This window comes from Homo sapiens, chromosome 3 (assembly GCF_000001405.40).
Source record: "Homo sapiens chromosome 3, GRCh38.p14 Primary Assembly".
NCBI classification, from domain to species: domain Eukaryota; kingdom Metazoa; phylum Chordata; class Mammalia; order Primates; family Hominidae; genus Homo; species Homo sapiens.
The window spans coordinates 159967448-159988437 of NC_000003.12; the positions used below are offsets into that span (position 1 = coordinate 159967448).

The 20990-nt window shown below is 39.2% G+C and overlaps 1 long non-coding RNA gene across 1 annotated transcript in view, besides 1 other annotated feature; it reads right to left on the minus strand.

The window, feature by feature from the left end:
- The window catches only part of IL12A-AS1 (IL12A antisense RNA 1), a 293693-nt gene that overhangs the window by 54048 nt on the left and 218655 nt on the right, over window positions 1–20990 (minus strand). The window lies entirely within an intron of this gene.
- Window positions 19047–20246: an enhancer, noted in NCBI's record as "CDK7 strongly-dependent group 2 enhancer chr3:159704282-159705481 (GRCh37/hg19 assembly coordinates)". NCBI's record gives its function as "activates an origin of replication core promoter dependent on BRD2, BRD4, P300/CBP, MED14 and CDK7 cofactors, with strong dependence on CDK7, by STARR-seq in HCT116 cells {active_cell/tissue: HCT116}" and the evidence as "EXISTENCE:reporter gene assay evidence [ECO:0000049][PMID:35650434]".

A 20990-nucleotide genomic window follows, 5' to 3' on the forward strand; every position in this document is an offset into this window, starting at 1 on the left:
CTTTGTTATGTTCACTGATGTATCCCCAGAATGACTAGGACAATGCCTTGTAGACAGTATGTGTTCAATAACTTTTTGTTGAATTAATAGATGATTACTCAGAAAGCACCCCAGATGCCTTCACCACCCCACCTTCCTCCCACTTTATCATTTCAACTTCCGAACTTGAATTTATCCATCATCATTTTCTCAGCCTCTGATGCTGTGGCTTCTGCTATTTTCAGGCTGTTGAGAGTTACCATAGAAAATTATAGACATCTGCCAAGTGGATGCACTGTAAAATCGTATTGCTAAACCTCACTTGTGCCTCAGTCATGCCTGACAAACCTTGTATTTATCTTATGTTACCTCCCCAGCAAACTCCATGCTGTGATGTTCTAAAACACCTTTCCTTTTTGGATTTGCATAGAGTGGGATTTTCAACTCACTCATAGCCAATGTTCAGACTCCAGCAATTGTTTTCATTTTTGCAATAGGTTCTTCACAGCTCGTCTTTTGTTCCTACTCTTGTTGTCTTCTGTTTTTCTCATCTACTTCTAATTTAGGCAATCTTGCTAAATTTCAGGTCTACTCATAAGCTGCCTTAAATTATTATTCTTTTTAAACAGAGAGGTTACACAATTTTATTTTTTAATGTCCTTAGGTGATGTTTAAAAGCCCTTTGTAAGCTTAATTTTAATGGCTGCATAATATTCCATTATGTGATAATGTACTTAACCTTCACTAATGTTGGACATATATTCTTCCATTTATTTCGTTATTACAAAAATCTTAGGACATAGCTGTTATTTTGCATTTCTGCAAATAACTTAGGGTAGACTATCAGATTTACTGGAGTTAAAAGGTATAAACATTTTAAGACTTAGTGAATGTTGCCAAATTTCTTTTCAGAAAAGTTGCACTGATTTATTCCTACTACTTACAGTGACCATTTCATTATACCTTCACCGGGACTAGGAATTCTCATTTTATAATTATTTTCTAGCTGGATAGACAAAGAATGGTATTTCATTTTAACTGCATCTCTTTGATCATTTGTGTATATGACTTTTTAAACATATTCATTAGCTATTTGTATTTTTCTTTTTGTGAATTCCTTCTTAATATTTTTTCTATCCATCTACTGAAATGTTCATTTTCATGATTATTTTGTCTATGTTCTTAATAAATGTCATGTAGTAATTACATATAATATTTACTAACAATAATTTTCCAGTTTAATAACTGCCTTTTGGTTGTTTTGCTTTTTTATTAATGTATATATACACTATTTTATTTTATTTTATTTATTTAATTATTTATTTATTTATTTATTTATTATTTATTTGAGACAGAGTCTTGCTTTGTCACCCAGGCTGGAGCGCCATGGCGTGATCTCAGCTCACTGCAACCTCTGCCTCCTGGATTCAAGTGATTCTCCTGCCTCAGCCTCCCGAGTAGCTAGGATTACAGGCATACACCACCACGCCCCACTAATTTTTTGTATTTTTAGTAGGGATGGGGTTTCACCATATTGCTCAGGCTTGTCTCGAACTCCTGACCTCGAGTGATCCGCCCACCTCAGCCTCCCAAAGTGCTGGGATTACAGGCATGAGCCACTGCGCCCGGCCTATTTTACTAATTTTTTTGAGACAGGATTTTGCTTTGCCATCCAGGCTGGAATGCAGTGAAGCAATCACTGCTCACTGCTTCTGGACCTCCAGAGCCCAACTGATCTTCCCACCTCAGCCTCCCAAGTAGCTCGGACTACAGGCACACACCACCACACCAGGTTAATTTTTTCTTTTTTTTATAGAAATGAGGACTTATTATATTGTCCAGGATGGCCTCAAACTCCTGAACCCAAGTGATCCTCTGCCCCAGCCTCCTTAAGTGTTGGGATTACAAGTGTGAGCCACTGTGCCTGGCCTACACACTGTATGAAAATCTTGTTAGAGCTATGTGTCTTTGCCTAGGGATATTTGTCTTTGCTTTTAATCCTAGACAGTCTTCCTTGATCCAAAAATTTGATCATGTATCTTGATTTTAATTTGTATTAGTTAAACTTTTGTAGAGGTTATTCTTCATATATTGCGTGTGTTAGGACATAAATTTTTCTCCAACCAATTACTCCAGTTTTGGAGATTTAACTGGACCAACAAATAACAGCCCTTCCCCCTCATGAGTTAGAAACCAATTAAGAGATAAACATATAATGTGGGTGGAATTTTTTTTTTTTTTTTGAGACAGAGTTTCATTCTTGTTGCCCAGGCTGGAGTGCAGTGGCATGGTCTCAGCTCACCACAAACTCCACCTCCCAGGTTCAAGCGATTCTCCTGCCTCAGCCTCCCAAGTAGTTGGGATTACAGGTGCCCACCACCACGCTCAGCTAATTTTTTTGTATTTTTAGTAGCACATTGGCCAGGCTGATCTCGAACTCCTGACCTCAGGTGATCCGCCCACCTTGGCCTCCCAAAGTGCTGGGATTACAGGCGTGAGCCACCACACCCGGCCGATGTTGTTTTCTTTATTCCTGATTAAAGCTGATTAGAATATGTAATTTTAGATAAGCAGCCAAAATAGTCTGCTAACATACCTTACCCTGGATTAAGCTGCCTTATTCACACAATTCCAGGCCACGCTCGACCCCTACTGAGTTCCCTAAGGGCAGGGGCAGAAACTGCCCCTTTAAGAGCCACTGAGCTGAGGCAGACCAGCTTGCAGCCTCTCTGCAAGCAGACAGACCCTGAAAGAGAGGAGGGGCCTGAGCCACACATTCTATTTCTTCTAAACTCATCAATCAGATATTTCCTTCTTCCTGACCCAAGAAAGAAAATGAGGATTGGGAGAGAACCCAGAAGTGTAACTGTAGTTGGAGTACATAGAAACACACATTTAGGAAAACAGTTTCTCTCCATTTCTTCCTCAACCCCATGCCCACCCCCAACCAATACCTAGCACCATTCATTGGAGAATCCTGCCCTTCCTTCCTGCCTTGTGATGCCACCTTTATCATCGTCATCATATATATCCTATGGGTTCTTTCTGGCCTATCTATTCTGTCCTGCCAAATTATTCTGGCAGGAGAGACAAACCGATAACATTATTGTTATCTTCTGTTGTGTTTTACTTTCTTGGAAGGCTAAATCCTCCCTACCACCCTTTATTTACCCTCAAAATGTATTAGTTACTATTGCCTATTTGTCCTCCAGATGCACTCTGGAATGATTTTTGTAATATTCCAAAAATAACACTATTGTGATTTTGATTGGAGTCATATTAAACTATAAATTAATTTGGTAGGAATTGACAATCTCATAATATTCGGTTCTCCCATCCAAGAACATGTTATGGCTCTATTTATTGAAGTAATTTTTTATATCTTGTGGTAAAGTCTTATTATATCTTCATACAAATCTCTCACGTTTCTTGTTAAGTTATTCCTAGGCATTTCATCTGTATGGAGATAACTATAACTAACTAGAAATAACAAGAAACATGCTATATTGAGAATGCAATATTTTTCATTATGTTTCCTCTCTGTTTATAGTATCTAGAAAATCTGGTAATTTTTCATATGTTTTTCTTTATATGTGTATATTGTCATTCTTTCATATATTGCCATTCTTTTCACTCTTTTATTAATGCCAATACTTTCTCATACAATTCCCTTGGGTTTTCTAGACCAGAGCTTTCCTATGAGTGTGCTGCACGCAGCCCTCAGGTGTGGCGAGCATGGGGATCCTGGTGCTCTGTGAGATACTGAGTGCACCAGTAGGAAGGAAGGTCTGGGGCAGTCACTTGTAGCTGGTCACCTGCAATCATGAACTCCTTGGAGGATCTGGCTCTGTTGCCCAGGCTGGTGTGTAGTGGCCTGATCACTGCTCTCTGCAGCCTCAACCTCCTAGGCTCATTCGATCCCCTGAAGGGAACCCTAAGCAGAGTATTCCTGACTATGTGCTGTCACCATTAGCAATGAGCACCGTTCCCTACACTGATTCGCGGCACTCCCAGCTTCCTAGCCACACCTCAAACACAGCCAAAGAGGTGCTCTGCAGCCTGGACAGCTCCTTCAGTTTGGCAGCAGAGTGCGTCTCTGTGCCATGTGGTCTTGGGCCTATGGAGTTGCTGGAGGACCCTGGGTTCCAGGTGCCCGCCGTACTTGGATCACAGCCTAAGGTGCAATTGGTTGTGGGAATGGGGCAGATGCTTCACCAGCTGGCAGCTTGGAATCATTGTCCTGACACTGAGCACATACTGTCACTTATTTTGTGGCTGATGGATTTTTTTAGTGACACTCCTCCAAAAACGCATGCCCTTTCTTCACACGACCGCTTCCTCACTACTTTGAAGTTCATGGTGTAAAAAAAGTTCTGTTTACACATGAACACATGGGGAGAACGACACAGAATGGGGCCTACTGAAGGGTGGAGGGTGGGCAGATGGAGAGGATCAGGAAAAATAACTAATGGGTACTAGGCTTAATACCTGGATGAAAATAATCTGTACAACAAACCCCCATGACATAAGTTTACTTATGTAACAAACCTGCACATGTACCCCTGAACCTAAAATGAGAGTTAAAAAAAAAGAATGTAAAGGGGAAAAAAATAGTTCTGTTTTTAAAAAAATCTATTTTCATTATCACAACAGATTTCAATATCACATTTTTCTAGAAAAGAATAAAAGAGCTGTTACATTCTCTTGGCAACTATTGTAAATTTGATAGAAAACAATAGAATATTTTGTCAGCTACTAATATGAACAAAGTTTCTCATTCATGTTGACTACCAAGAGATAATCATTAAAAAATTGACATCAAGAAATGTTTATAGCTTTTTTAGGCATACTATCTGATATGAAAGTTTTGTCCACAGAAATAAGCCTAAGTTTCTAGGTAACCAATTTGAGAATATTTCACTTGGAAGTTTTACATAAATTTGATATTTAATATCTTCCCCCATACTTTACATTTTATTTTTATTATCATAATTATACAAAGAAAATTGCTTCTGAATCCCCTATGGTTCATTCCAGTATATCTTACAGATATTATCATTTTTTTCACATTCTATAATGTGGAAAGGTCAGGAATCACTGTTTGAGAACAGCTAGCATATTATCTGCAGATAATGATAATCTTAAATACTCTTTGATAATAATTAGACTTTTAATTTCTGCTTAAACCATTGCATCAGTGATAACTTCTGCAAACACACACACAACAACAACAACAACAACAACAACAACAACAAACACCTGTGGGATTGAGCCTCTCTCCTCCTGTCTGCTGGAAGGCCATGTGCCATCAGCCATGCATTCCTCTCCCAAATCATTAACCTCTTCCTCTCTACCCCTCCTTCCCTTTAGCTTATTAACAGAATCAAATTTTCCATCTTAAAAAATCAAGGTATATTCTATCAGATTTGCATTCTCAGGCAAGTCTTACCATCAAACTTTGTCAAAAAGTTTATGCCAATTTTCTCCCTTTCCACTGCTCTTAATTACTTTTCAATTCAAGATAGTCTGACCATGCTACCAAAACAATCTCAGAGGATCATCTTCACCTTGCAAAGCCCTGGGTTCTCTTTAGAGTCCTCATCATTCCTGAAACCTTTGCTGATCTCCTTCCTTCCCCTTTAAAAAACAAACTATTATTTATTCAGCATTTACTGTGAGTCAGGAATTGATGCTAAGTGCTTTATTTAGATTATCTCATTCAATCTTCATGACATTCTTATCTTTAGCCTTATTCTACCCATTTTACAGATGAGGAAAGATAAATAAAATTCTCCAAGGTTACACAATGAGTAAGGGGACAGTATTGGGCATTCGGGTGTCTTGAAAACTTTTCAATACTTATATGTCTTCTATGACATTTATTTTTTGCCTTGTTCTTGTCCTGTGTCTCTGTTGCTCATTTTCAAACTTCAGGAAATTTTCACTCATTAGTCTTCAAATATTTTTTTCTGAAGTTTACTCCTTCTACTCTCTTTCTGGGACTCTGATGGTATAAATTTAGAATTTTTGATGTTCTCCCACGAGAGAGAGAGTGCTTCTCCCCTTCCCACGTCTGCCAAGTCCTTTTTTTGTTGTTGTTCAGACTGGATAATTTCTACTGATCTTTTTTCAAATGTACTGATTCTTTTGTTGTCTTCATTCTGCTATTCAGTCTATCTGAAAAGATTTTTATTTTGGTTATTGTATTTTTTAGTTTTAAATTTTCCATCTGGTTCTTTTTGTATTTTCTATTATTTGCTGAGACTTTTTATCTTTCCATTCATTTCAAGACAGTGCTCATTTTGTGATGCATTTATATAATATTTAAAGGCTATAATTTCAAAATTGTGTCATCTCAATGTTGGCATCTGTTGCCTATCTTTTCTCATGGAAGTCAACATTTTCCCTGGTTCTTAGTACATTGAGCAATTTTGGATTGTGTTCTTTCCATTCTGAATGTTACATTATGAGACTCAGGGTCTTGTTTAAATCCTATGGAGGATTTTGATATTTTTGTTTTAGCAGGCAACTGACCTAGTTGGGTTCAGGCCAAAAGCCAGACCAGCTTCTGTGGGTTATAGTTTTAATGACAGTTCAGTTTACAAAGCCTTTGCAAAGCTACTTGGATCTGTCTCATGTGCACCCAATCCCATAGTTCTCTTCTCATAGTGTCTGGTATTCTATCTAGGGTCAGAAGTACACAAGTGCAGGTCAATGGTGAGCCCTGGGGTTCATAAACAACTCTATGGGATGGATTTTCTGAGCCTTTCTCTCTCCAAGATCTCCCTGATTCTCTCAAATACACTATGGCTTCCCTTTTCAGTCTGGGCATTTAGTTACCCTACTCTTCTGTGTACTTCCCAACATATGTTGTATGCATCCCCCAACCACAAAATATGCACTCAATATGAAACGGCCAATTTAAGTGCCATGTCTACACCTGGACCAAGAATAGTCAGCAAAGGGATGTCCTGAGCTGACTGGCTTGCACCAATTAGGACACTTCTCAGGGGCTCAGGATGGGTTAACCATTTGACAAAATCTAGGCTCTGTGAAGAACGGGGACATGACTGTTGGATGTCTATGTCCAACACTACAACGAGTAGTGTCTATGCACTACTTTTTTCCCCCTTTTCTTCCCTAAGCCACTAAATGGCATCATCACCCTCCTGATCACTCAGGCTTAAAGCTTCAGAGTTTCCTTTGCGTTTGTGCATTTCATCCGCACTCACACACCTGTAAATATCCAGTCCAATGCTGAGCCTAAAGATACCTCCTGATCAAAGCCCCTCTCTTTGATCCTGTCTGTCTAGCCAATCTTTTATTTATGCCTAGTGTTCCATTATTGGAACGCTAAACTTGTGGGAGTTATTTATATCCTACTGCTCAAGGTCATCACCAAGGTCTGATTTTCACCAAAAAAATTTGCAACCTCCGGCATAATTGGGTTAAAGCCTGCTGTCTGGTCCTTGCCCTCAGATTCTCCCCTCTCACAGTCAGCTTCCAAAACAGAGGGCAACTGGTTATCAAACAAATGAAAGTCCTTAGCATTATAATCAAGACTTCCCCATATCTACCCTACTTTTCCAAAAGTTGGATCTTTCAGGCCCACCCAACAACCTCTAGGAAAGAAGGAGTTACTGGAGATCAAGTTCTATAAAAACTCTTGGACAATAAGATTTGATAAGCTGTACATGTGGAGGTGCTGGGAGAGTGCATGACTAGAGAGGGCATGGAAGCTCCATGCCCCACTAAACCTTGCCCTATCCATCCCTTCACCTGGCTGTTCATCTGTATCCTTTGTCATATACTTTATAATAAAACCGTAAATATAATTAAGCATTTCCCTGGGTTCTGTGAGCTGGTCCAGCAAATTATGGAACCCAAGGAGGGGGTGAAGGGAACCTCAATTTGTAGCCAGTCAGTTTGAAGTAGGGGTGGCCTGGACTTGTGTTTGGCACCTGGAGAGGGGGCAATCTTACTGGACTCGGCCCTAGACCTGTAGGATCTAACACTGTCTCTAGGTAGATAGCCTCAGAATTGAATGATAGCATACCCAGTTGGTGTCTGTTGGAGAATTGCTTGGTTTTGGCAGGGGAGTGGGGGGAATCATAAATGTGGTCACAGAAGTGTTCTGTGTTGAGTGTGAGAGGAAAAAGGAAAACAGTATGTTTTCTTTCCTCTATTGTAAAGTCTTGTAAATAATGTTGCGGTAGGCATTCTTGAACATAATCATTGTCCAAATCTCTGATTAATGCCTTAAACTGGAGCCCTAGAAGTGGAATTAGTTGATGAAAATGTATGCTAATTTTACAAAATTTTGATAAGTACTTCAAAACTGCTTTTCAAAAAGGTTGTATTAATTTAGGCTCTCCTACCCTCAAGCAGCCCTCTCACCCCCGCATTATATTTTAAGAGGGCAGCAAAAATATGCTGGGTTCATATCCCAGCTTTACTATCTTAGGAAAGTTATTTAACCTTGCCAACGTCCAGTTTCCTTGTCTATAATACAGGGGTAGTAATAATATCCAGCTCACAGGGTTCCTATGAGAATTAAATAAAGCAATAATGTAAAATTGTCTAGTACAGTCTCTGGCAAATAACACATATATAGTCAATAAATGTTAGCAACTGTTACCAGTAACCAGTAATATCACTCTTCCCCAAATCACTCCTGGACAGGGTAATATTTGGGTGCAAAATCCCCTAAACGCAGTTGGAAAAAGTACCAAGTTTCCCTGTTTAATAAAACTGTTTAATAGCTGAAGTCACTCAACTACCCTATCCACACAAGAGATCTCAGTATTCTAAAAATAATAGCCTATTTGGTTACCACTGGAAGTAAAAAGGATCTTCAGAAAGGTGTTTTCTGCCCTCGACATATTATTTTAACAATGGCATATATTTCCTTATTATTCCAAGAGAAACAAATTTATTTAAGGGGAAACGGCTCCAACCTGGAAAATGAGTTTTTTTCAGAAAAAGGTGAAGTCCACATAAATAGCTTCATTATTAATCATCATAAGCAGACCTCACAGGCATCAATCTGCCACAGTCTGGTCCTCAGCACCCCCAAAAGAGATCTATATTACAAGCCTTTAAAAAATGTCCTTGAGAAGTTTAAGAAAAGCCTTTGCAATTAATTTGGAAGTCTTTCTGGAATTTTGTGTAAATTCAGTCAATTTTTTGTTTGGTTGTTCCCAGAATTTTTGGTTGAGATGATCCCAAGATAAACAGAATCACTTATAGAAAGCTGTTTGTCAGATGGATGCCCTGAAACAATTGCATTAAATTGGTTTAGCTCTATTTAAATACAAAGTAGATTATTTTCTATTGCTTTATGTGCATACATTTGCTTAATCTTTTTATAAACTACATATTTATTAGGCATGGGAACATTAGTATTCAGCTTCTGGAGAGAAACCACTCAAAATTGTTCTGTGTCCATTGCCTAAAAGGATATTACTACCAGGGGGATAAATACACAGAATTTGTTCTTCTAAACTCTTCGGAGTTTTTTGACATTGGGTAAATTTGTGTCTTTAAACACTGGGGCATTTCATGATGTAAAAACAACAGGGGAAATGAAATTGTAGGATATTATAAAAGGTCCTAGCTGCTGCTTTCTTCTGGAGTTTCTTCTCTGGGAATCTGCTAAATAAAAAAAGCTTCAGTCTGACACTGAAGGAAGCATTTGGGAACAGAAAACTGATTCAACAGATTTGCACCCGTCAGAAATACAAATATGCCCAGTGTTTTCCTGTCCTATTTTCCTTCTCTTTAAGTTCAGTGTCATCAAATCTGTAAATTTCCCATGCGGGTCACCAAATAAACCGAGATATGTAATAATAAACAGCTGGGCTTAGATTGTCTTCTCAGCCAACTTTTTCTGCCTGAAAAGATAGGAAACTAGTCCAGTGAGATGGATTAGGGAAAAATTCTATCTTAGAGTTGCCAGGAACCTGAATAAGAAAAAGGTACCCCCTCCTTCATGCTGCAATAAGGATCACAGTTTGACAAACAAAGCACAGACTAGACTTTGCCCCAAACTACCTCCTTGGTCTGTACTATGCAATCCTACATTTTATTTTCACATACGTGTTGCTTAACTCTTGCGGTAACACAGGAAAAGCACCAGGAACAAGTGGTAAAATACAACTTCAGACCTAAGCTCTGGAAATCAAAACTTTTTGTTGTTGTTGTTGTTTGGTTTTTGTTTTTTTGAGACGGAGTCTCACTCTGTCGCCCACGCTGGAGTGCAGTGGCGCGATCTGGGCTCACTGCAAGCTCTGCCTCCCAGGTTCACGCCATTCTCCTGCCTCAGCCTCCCGAGTAGCTGGGACTACAGGCACCCGCCACCACGCCTGGCTAATTTTTTGTATTTTTAGTAGAGGCAGGGTTTCACCGTGTTAGCCAGGATGGTCTCGATCTCCTGACCTCGTGATCCGCCCGCCTTAGCCTCCCAAAGTGCTGGGATTACAGGTGTGAGCCACCACGCCCACCCAATCAAAACATTGTATTTTGAATCTCCATGTGCCTAGTTCTATGCAAGGCGTGCAGGGTACACAAATGAAGAATACTTCTGTGAGTTCCTGAAAGATGCTATGGTATAAAGGGCTCTTGTTTTTGTTTCTCATGTTTCTCATTGTTTGTTACAGATTTGGAGGGAGAGGGGAAGATGCCATCTAGCCTTCTCAACAATAAAAACTTGTTTGAAGGTCTACCTTTCTATTAAGAAAATAGCTTCAAGACTCGGACCACATGGATTCAAATCCCAGCACTGCTATTTACTAACTATATGACTTTCAGTGACTGACTTAGCGTCTGTGTTCCTAGGTTTCCTCAGCCGTAAAAATGTGGATATAATTGCAATGCCTACACCACGGGTTGTTATTATTATTATTAGTCTATGTCCCTCACAGCCCATCTAGCACCAAGAGCAGTATATTATGTCTGAAAGGAGGATATCATCGGTTGTCATAATCACTCTGAGGGCTCAACTTTGCAACTGGAACTGTGAGCAGACCCAGAACAGGCCAAGAGTTAGAGAGGCAAAACAAAAAGTGGCTGCTAAGAGACTGAGAAATGAAACAGAGCTGGTGTCAGTCTCATAGTGCCGGGTAAATAAACACTGGCGTTCAGAGTCCACCAAAGCAGAGGGGCCATGGTAAGCACCTCCTGCTTCTAGCAGGAACTAATAGAATTACATCCTAAAAATAACACTACACAGACATAAATCAGCCTTCATAAGCATTGCAACTCAGGTTCAAATCAGCTTATTTCCTGATTGGTTTAAAGTGTTCTGCTTTATTCTGACTGCCTGACAGAAACTAACATCATAGAGAGCCTCTGCAGTTTTTCCTATAGAATGTCCAGAATTCAATTTAAAATTATAGGTGTACAAAGACAGGAAAAAGAGATTAAAAAATACACAATAGAAACAGACATGCAGATTATCCAGATGCTAAAATTGTCAGATACAGAATATAAAATAACACTGATTAATATGTTTAAGAAAACAGATGACAAAATGGAGAATTTCACCAGAGAATTGAAATCTAAGTGTTTTTTTAAAAAAGGTGAAAATTATGAAACTGTAAAATACAACAACTGAAATTAAAACTTCAATAAATAAATTTGACAATAGTTTAAACACAGGTGAAGAAAGTATTAGTGACCTAGAAGATTGGTTGGTAGAAAATATCCCTATGGAAGCACCCAAGTATTTTTAAAAAGAAAAAATATGTAGGCAATACCATAAAAACAGGAAAAGGTCTGATGTGCAATTAGAGCTTCAGAAGGGTAGGAAAGTGAAATTGAGTTGGGAGCAATAGGTGCAACATTTGAAGAGGTAATGACAAAAAATTTTCCAAAGCTGATTTAAAGGTATCAAGCTATAGATTCAATAAATGCTACAAATCTCAAGCAGGATAAATACAAAAAAATACACATAGAAATGTAATAAGTAAATTGCTAGAGGGGAATAACAGACAAAAAGAAAATTCTAAAAGCAGTCAGATAATCGTCCTAAACAAATAAATTACCTCAAAGAAGCAACAGTAAGACTGATGGCTAACTTCTTAACAGAAACAATGGAAGCCAGAAGGCATTGTGATGTCATCTTTAAAGTGATGAAAGAAAATAACTGCCAAACAAAAATATATTTCAAAAATTAAGGCAAAGTAAAAATATTTTCAGACAAACAAAAGGTGATGGAATTTGTTGTCAGCAGACTTGTGCTTTTAAAAAGTCTAAAGGCATTTGTTCTTGAGGCAGAAGAAACATTATCACTGATGGAAGAGCATATACAAGTGAAATGAATGAAAAACACTGTTGGGAGGCTGAAGTGGGAAAATCACTTGAGCCCAGGAATTTGAGACCAGCCTTGGCAATATAGTGAGATCCTATATCTACAAAATTTTTTTTTTTTAATTATCCAGGCATGATGGCTGGCACACACCTGTAGCCCCAGCTATCAGGAGGCTAAAGGTGGGAGGATAGCTTAAGCCCAGGACTTCTAGGCTATAGTGAGCTATGATCACACCATTGCACTCCAGCCTGGGCAACAGAGTGAAAAGTCTCTAAAAAGAAAAGGAAAAGAAAAAGAAAAAAAGAGATAAACACTGGAAGCCAAACATGAATAATGACTGTATAAAACAATAAAAATGGGTGTTTGGGCACTTTAAAAAGCTAGTGCCAGCAGCCTGCTTTTCAAGTCTCATGTTGAGAAATTTTCATTTCATAAAGAGAAAAAAAAATGACCTTGACTAGGAATATTCTGTTTTCTTCCACATTAGGAGCCCAAATACCATCATAGTATTACTAATACTCACCAAAGAGGGCATGTGATGGACCCTTGAGGGATTATTTAAAGCCCTAGTAGTCACTGTTTAGAGATCAATGCCATGAAAGGAAACTGGCAGCCTGCTGGGGCAATGATGCTTGTGTTACAGTGCTCTACCCTCTATCTCATTGTGTATACAGTATCTCAATAGCTCCTCCCAACAACCCCACCAGGCAGGTGTATTTCTCCCTATTTTATAGAAGTTTAGAAACATTAAAGAAATGACCAAGATCACACAGCTAGAAAGGGATGGAAACTGATTTTAGCCTGAACTGCAAAGCCCATAGTTTTTCCACTTTACAAGGCCATGGGGCAGAAAAATTCTAGCCAGTTAAATTATATTGGTACACATAATAGAGTTAAAATGGTATTCTAAATTTAAATGTGCATAGTACACATGCAGAATACTTACAAAACAGTGAGAAGACAAATGGGTGGGTGGGTGGATGGATGGATGGATGGATGGATAGATGGGTGGATAGATGGATGGATAGATGGATGGATGAAAAGATGGATGGATAGATAGAGTCAGACACAAAGCCCCTGACTTGAGGGTAGAGAGTTAATCCACTTACATACTCAATGTTTGATGTTCATATGGTAAATCCTGCAAGAATGCTGCTACATAGAGGAAATTCTCTGCTCAAAAGCTGTCAGAATGGCTACAGCAGCTGTCTTAGCAGTTAAAATACAAATAAAAACAAAACAAAAATAAATGAAGCTATAATACATTTGTATGTTAAATAATTCAAAAAGTACAGAGCATATTCAATAAAAGTCAGGTTTTCCTCCTACTTCAAAGACTCAGTCTACTTCTTTAGAGGCAATGGTCACTACTCTTAGAAGCATAGATTTATATCTATACTACACGTGTATCTATGTGTGTTTGTACATGAATATACTTTTTTCTCTGTACAAATGGAAGCATATTATACACTAGTCTGAACCTTGATTTTGCACGACTTTTCAAGTAATGAAGATTTTTCCTGTCATATATATAAATCTGCCTCAATCTTTTGGATAGTTGCATAATAGTCCCTTGAAAAGATGAGTCATGTTTTATTTAAATGGTTTCCTGCTAATAAGACATTGGAAGCATTTCAAGTTTTTTGATACTAAAAATGATATTTTTAATGGAAATAAGTCTTTATGCATACATGCAAATAGTTTTATAGGATAAATTACTAGAAGTAGAATTGCTGAACAAGTGTATGTGCATTTTTCATTTTGATAGCTATTGCCAACTATCCCTCCAAATAGATTTCACTAGATTACACATTTCCACATACCCTTACACACTTTACAAACTATCAAACTTTTAGCTTTGCAAACTACAGGATAAAAATTATATCTATTATTTTTATTTGCATTTATTCAATTATCAGTGCAGCTGAGTATTTTTCATATGTTTATAAGTAATTTGTGTATCTTTTTCTCTGAGCTGTCTGTTCATATCCTTTGCCCAGTTTTGAATTGAATTATTGGCCTTTTTCTTATTGACTTTTGCATTTACACAGTGACATTAGCTCTTGGTTTGTTACATGTTCATGTAAATGTTTTTTCTGGGTTATGATTTCTCTTTAAAAGTTGTCTATAATATTCCTATAGACAACTCAAAATTCCTATAGACAACGAATCAAAATATTTGATTTTTACAGTCAAATTTATCCTTTTTTTCTTTATAATGTCTGGGCATCAGATGATCTTAATTATTCATGAGACTACAATGCCCAGGTGTTGTATCATATTCAGATAAGTTGCTAAACTGTCTCAAGATGCAGAAAAGTTTGCAAAAGTATTCATACAATCTTTATTCTGGAGCACCAATAAGTAATAAATGACACCTTTCTGGATTTTTTTTCTTGAAGCCCGTTGTCAAGATTTTTGAAGTCTCTCAAAAACAGGATAGATGGCTCATGGATGTTCCCTACAGACACTGTGTCATGAATATTTAGGACTCCCCTCCACCGCTATTGAGAAGTTGCCACTTAATGTTTCAAAGAGAGCAAAGAAATAGTTTTGGAAGAAACTGTATGTGTGTCTTAATCTAAAATTAATAACTATATTTCACTATCACTCACTGTAGAATGATATCTAATATTGTTGACATTCTACCACTTTACAAAATTCTTACCTGTTCACTGTATAATTGATCTGCGTGACAAAACTAGCACAACAAAAGATTACCATCTCCATTTTGCTGATATGAAAATTAGGAAAGGCAGTGGCTTGCCCCAGCTTACATAGGTACCAAGTAGCAGAAAGAGGCTAGAAATTAGGTCTTTTGATCGTAGGCCCAAAGTTCCTTTAGTGCTATAGCCTTTCTGGCTCCGCTCACTTACTATTTCTCCCCCTGCTGCTCAGATATGTCAGCAAAGAAGAAAGAGCTCCACAGAACCAAGCTCCTCAGCATGTAACACTGGGGGTTGGTGTTCAACAAGGAACACAGAGCTCTGCTTCTTACCCTGACAGGCCACCTTTCAGGATTGAAGCTCAGGATTGGAATCCAGATTGATGCCATGTGGGCACCAGCTGATTTATGCTCAAGTTGAATGACATTTATGGACAAGAGCCACAGGAAAACTGACAGCAGAGACCTTGCTATTTTATGAAGGAAAATCACGTTTACAGTGCTGACCTACACATGCAAATTTACGGTCTCAACTGATCACAAGCCTCTTTGGGATCTCACTTCATCTGAGGATGAGCTGCCACCCTAAATTATGGCACCAAAGATATAGTTCCAAATCTTCTGTTCAGGTCCTATGACTCTGACCTTGTCTACTTGTCAGGGAGAATAACAATGAAGACAGGCATATCGAGCTATCTACTCAAATCAGCCAGGGTTTCTCTTCCAGCACTACTGATACTTTGAATCACAAAATTATTTGTCTGGGGGGGCGGATGGGCGGGTGAGGGGCTATCCTGTGTACCGTAGAATGTTCAGCAGCATTTAGCAACATTCTTCTACCCACTAGATGCCAGTGGCAACCCCCTTCCTCCAATTATGACAACTCAAAATGTCTCCACACATTGCCAAGTGTCCCCTGGGGAGCAAGGCCATCTCCAACTGAGAACCACAGAAATAGATCTTTAATATATTCTGTCAAATTTTTGAAAAGACCCTTGTCTCTCAGTGATGAAAATGCCTGATTGACTCATAGCTCAAACCGAATGGGAAAGGAATAACTAACAATAAAAGCTACCTGAATTCCCAGCACTTTGGGAGGCCAAGGCAGGCAGATCACGAGGTCAGGAGATAAAGACCAACCTGGGTAACACGGTGAAACCCTGTCTCTACTAAAAATACAAGAAAATTAGCCAGGTGTGGTGGCAGCCGCCTGTAGTCCCAGCTGCTCGGGAGGCTGAGGCAGGAGAATGGCATGAACCTGGGAGGCAAAGCTTGCAGTGAGCCAAGATTGAGCCACTGCACTCCAGCCTGGGCGACAGAGTGAGACTCCGTCTCGAAAACAAAACAAAACAAAACAAAAAACTACCTGAATGTACCAAATAGCAATTGAAGTTTGCAAACAATGACCTTGAGTCATCTGCTTACAGAAGGTGTCTATCTGTCTTTTGGACAAAGGACTTCTGATGAAGAGGATGGAGTGGACCATATTCTTTAATCCATGACGTTATTTGTCCCCATCAAATACAAATATCTAAATGTATTTATATATTTTCATTATCACTAGTCCTCATTCTCATTCCCCTCACTCCCCAGTGGGATCTATCCTACTAATATATATCCTTTTGTCTGTGTCTTTGTATAATGTGTACTATTTTGAATATATCATTCTCATTTAAGTCAATAGAGTTCCGCAATCACTTACTCACAATTCTTAAACTTACACAGCTCTGGACACCAGAAGTTTTCTCTTAAATTCTTAACAGCGAAATCTGACTGAAGCGACAAGGGGTTACTTGGGGTTCTTTAGCCACTCAATGTAACTATTCCTATGTTTTGCTGCGGAACTATTATGCTTGATTATGCGATGCCACCTCTTCCTTTTCTAAATTCCAAGCATTTTGAATTCCAAAAACAAATCTGAGCCCCCCCATTTTTTTCTTTTTCTTTCTTTCCTTTTTCTTTTCTTTTAAGTGAGACAGGGTCTCACTCTGTTGCCCAGGTTAGAGTACAGTGACACAATCATGGCTCACTATAGCCTTGACCTTCCGGGCTCAGGTGATCCTCCCACCTCAGCCTACTTGGTAGGTGGGAGTACAGGCATGTGCCACCATGCCTGACTAATTTTTGTATTTTTTGTGGAGATGGGGAATCCCTATGTTGCCCAGGCTGGTCTCAAACTCCTGGGTTCAAGCAATCCACTTTCCTTGGCTTCCCAAAGTGCTTGGATTACAGGCATGAGCCACTGTGCCCAGCCCCAAAGGGTTTTAATTGTCTACTTATACATTATAGAGAGAGATCTTACTCTGTTTTCCTGTTTTTACTCAGTATTATATTTTTAATACATATCCATGTTACTGCATGTACATCTAGTCTATTACTTCTAACTGCCGTAGAATACTCCATGAAGTGGATCCCTACATTCCACTCACCCACTCCCCCAGTAATGAGCAGCTACATTGCCTCCAGTTCCCCATCACTACAAACAATGACTTAATGAACATCCTCATACATGTTCCTTTGTGGACCTGTATGAGAATCTCCATAGGATATACACCCAGGGTTAACAGCTGGGTCATGGGTGTGAATATACTTAATCTGGTCAAGGAATGCCAGAATACCCTTCAAAACAGCCATGTCAGCCTACTGGCATGGTGTGATATAATAGATCCTGTAGTCCCCCATTTTCCCAACACTTACCAGTATCCAGTGTTCTCAACTTGTCAGTCTAAGAGGTGTAAAGAGATATCTCATTCTTTTTTTCATTTGCATTTTCTGATATAACTGAGCCTCCAGGTATGCTCATTAGTCTTTGGGGTTTCTTCTCGTTAAATTGCTTATTCATGAGCTTTACGCATTTTTTACTAGTGTTTCTGTCTTTTTCTTGCTGACTTACAAGAGTTCCTTGTTTTTAGACATTGAAAATATTGGTTTTAGACACTGAAAAATATCTTCTCTCAATCTGTCAGCTGTCTGTTCATTTGGTTCATGCATAGAGGAAATGTGTAAAACAGAAATCTTCATTTTTATGTAATCCAATTGATAGGTATTTTGCCTTATGGTTTGGAGCTTTAGAAGTTTTAAAAAAGTCCTTCCCACTTATAAGTGACAAAGACAGTCCTCTATATTTTCTTCTACTACTGTAACAATTTTACTTTTCACATTTGGTCTTTAATTCACTTCCAAATGGATTCACCTCTGTTGTTTTAGATTGGAGTCCAGTTTTATTTTTCATCATACGCTGAACATTTTCTCTTTTTAAAAAAATTTTTTGTAGGGAGTTTTTGCTCAGACTGGCCTTGAACTACTGACCTCAAGCAATTCTCCTGCCTTGACCTCCCAAAGTGCTGGGATTACAGGTGTGAGCCATTATGCCCAGCCCATTGAGTATTTTCTACTAAATATTGCATGTTTTCCTCATTGATCAGGGAATCATCTGTATTATCTTATACTTAATACCCAAATATACAAATCTATCTATAATTTCTCTACTCTGTTTCAATGGTCCATATGCCTGATCTGTTGCAAAGATCACTACTTTAATTTCTATGGCTTTAAATTATGTCCATATGTGATAGGGTTAGTCCCCCTTTTCATTATTCCCTTAGCATTTTTACTTAAGGCCAGGAACAGCAGCTCACGCCTGTAATCCCAGCACTTTGGGAGGCCAAGGTGGGTGGATCACTTGAGCCCAGGAGTTTGAGACCAGCCTAGGCAACAAAACTAGACTCCGTCTCTACAAAATACAAAAATAAAAATTAGCTGGACATGATGGTGTTGCCTGTGGTCCAAGCTACTCAGGAGGCTGAAGTGGGAGGATCACTTTAGCCCAGGAGGTCAAGGCTGCAGTGAGCTGTGACTGTGCCACCACTACACTCCAGCCTGGGTGATACAGTAAAACCATGTCTCAAAAAAAATTTTTTTAACTTAGTCATAGATTTTATTACATCTGTATTTTAGAGTAGGCTTATTATTAAGTTTCTGAGAAAATTTATTTGTAGCTTGTATTGGAATTACATTGAGCATGTGAATTAACGAAAAGAGGCTTAAGCTTTCTATATAGAGAAACCTTCCACCCAAGGGTATAGAATTATTTAATTAAATCACACTATATTCTTGACTGAACTTTAAAATTTTTCTCCAAACACTATTCTGTAGTTATCCAAGCTCATGTAATAATCATAATAACTCTATACTGTAGGTACTTTTATTATCATCATTTAACAGATGAGGAAACTGAGCCCAGAGAGATAAATAACTCACCTAAGAACACACAGCAAGTAAGTAGCAGAACCTGGATTAACATAGTTTAGTCCATACTCTTAGCCATTATACTGCCTCTGTATCTACAGTCAGTTACTTTATAGTTTGGCTGCTTCTATGCATGTCATCTTGTTTTTATTACATTTTCTGATGGATTGTTGCAGATACAAAGAAAATCGGCTGATTTTTTTTAAGTTGATATGTGTATTGCATGATGTTGTTAAATTCTCTTCTTAGTTCTAATAGTCTATTAATTTTTTTTCTTTTTGTATATCAACTGTAAAAAGTGACAGTTTTACCTTTTCTTTTCCAATGTTTAAAGCTCTCATTTCTTTTTCTTTCCTTATAGCATTGGCCGAGACCTCCACGACAATGCTACACACTGTGAAGTAGTGATTGTGAGCTAAGACTGTCACTTATAGAAAAATCATGTATTCCTAGAAGAAGGTTTTCATTTCATCTTAGCTAGAGGACATGGAGCACTTCAGGAAACTATTTCACAAAAATGTAAATTAGAAACTGTGTCTGGTAGCCAATAATCCATTTTTAACAGTGGCCCTGTGCTCATCTAAGCAACAGAAATTACTTTTGTATAGGAGATGGCCCTTCCAGGGGAGAAACAGCTCAGTTGTGATACACTTGTCTTCATCCTGACTTTAAGTACATTTAACTCCACACTAAACCCTTGTGGCCACAACACAGCTCTGCACCTGTCATTTGCTCTAGACAAACTGCTAAACGCAATTGTTTCTGACAATGGATTACTCTGTATCCCGTGGGGGAATTCTCAGACAGCAGCATTAGAAGGGGCCTTAGAGATCAACCATTTCTCTTATTTTACACACACCTAAAACTCCCTACAGCCGTGCTTCATCAGCTTCGAGCAGATGAGCCACCCAGAAGGCAGCTCCAGTTATTAGGTCCTAGGGCCTGGGTGTAGTCAGGCCCTTTGGAAGCTCCAAGTCAGAGATCAAACACATCCTCCCCACTACCCACGCCTAGGGTGACTAATGCCTGTGGGAAAAACAACTGAACTAAAAAGTCCCACAGGAACCTCAAACCCAGCACATCCAAAATGGAACTTCTCACCATCTCCTCCAAACTCAGTCCTCTTATACAGTAATCCCTGTAAAGCTAGAACAATCTCCATTCCCCATTCTCAGGGCCTTCCTCTCCCGCTCACCTGAGGAGCTACCAAGCCTTGGCCCACAAGCCCTCTGAGAGTCCCTCCTGCCCACCCTGTGTTCTCCATACTGAATAAGGACTTGGCCACACCTTGTCAACTCTTCCCTCTGCTCTACTCCTGACCCCTGGATCCATCCTTCATGCTGTGGCTGAAGGGATCCCCCCATCATGCAAATTCTGCCACATCTCCCGCCTAAAACCCAGGAAGACTCCCCACTACTCTCAGCACAGAAAGTACACTCCTTAGTATGGCATCCCCTGCCCTCATGGCATGGCCCCATCCAGCCCTCCAGCCTCACACCCTGCAAGGACACCTAGACCCCCACCTCCCTCAACCCTTCATGACTGCGCTTCTGATCCCTGTTTCCCCTGGCTAGACCCTGCGTGCCCTCCCGCTGGAAGCGGTCTAATGCCTGCTTGTTTTTAACACTCAGGTTGGGGCCCCTGCCTGCTCCCGGGAGCCTTTGCTGACTCCTGGACCCCGTTGCTCCGGCTGAGCGTGGGCTCTTTCTCTAGGTCTTTCCTCCCAGGACTCTGTGTATTCATCCTATCGTTAAACTGGATTCTCTACAAGAGTAATAATTGCAGAGT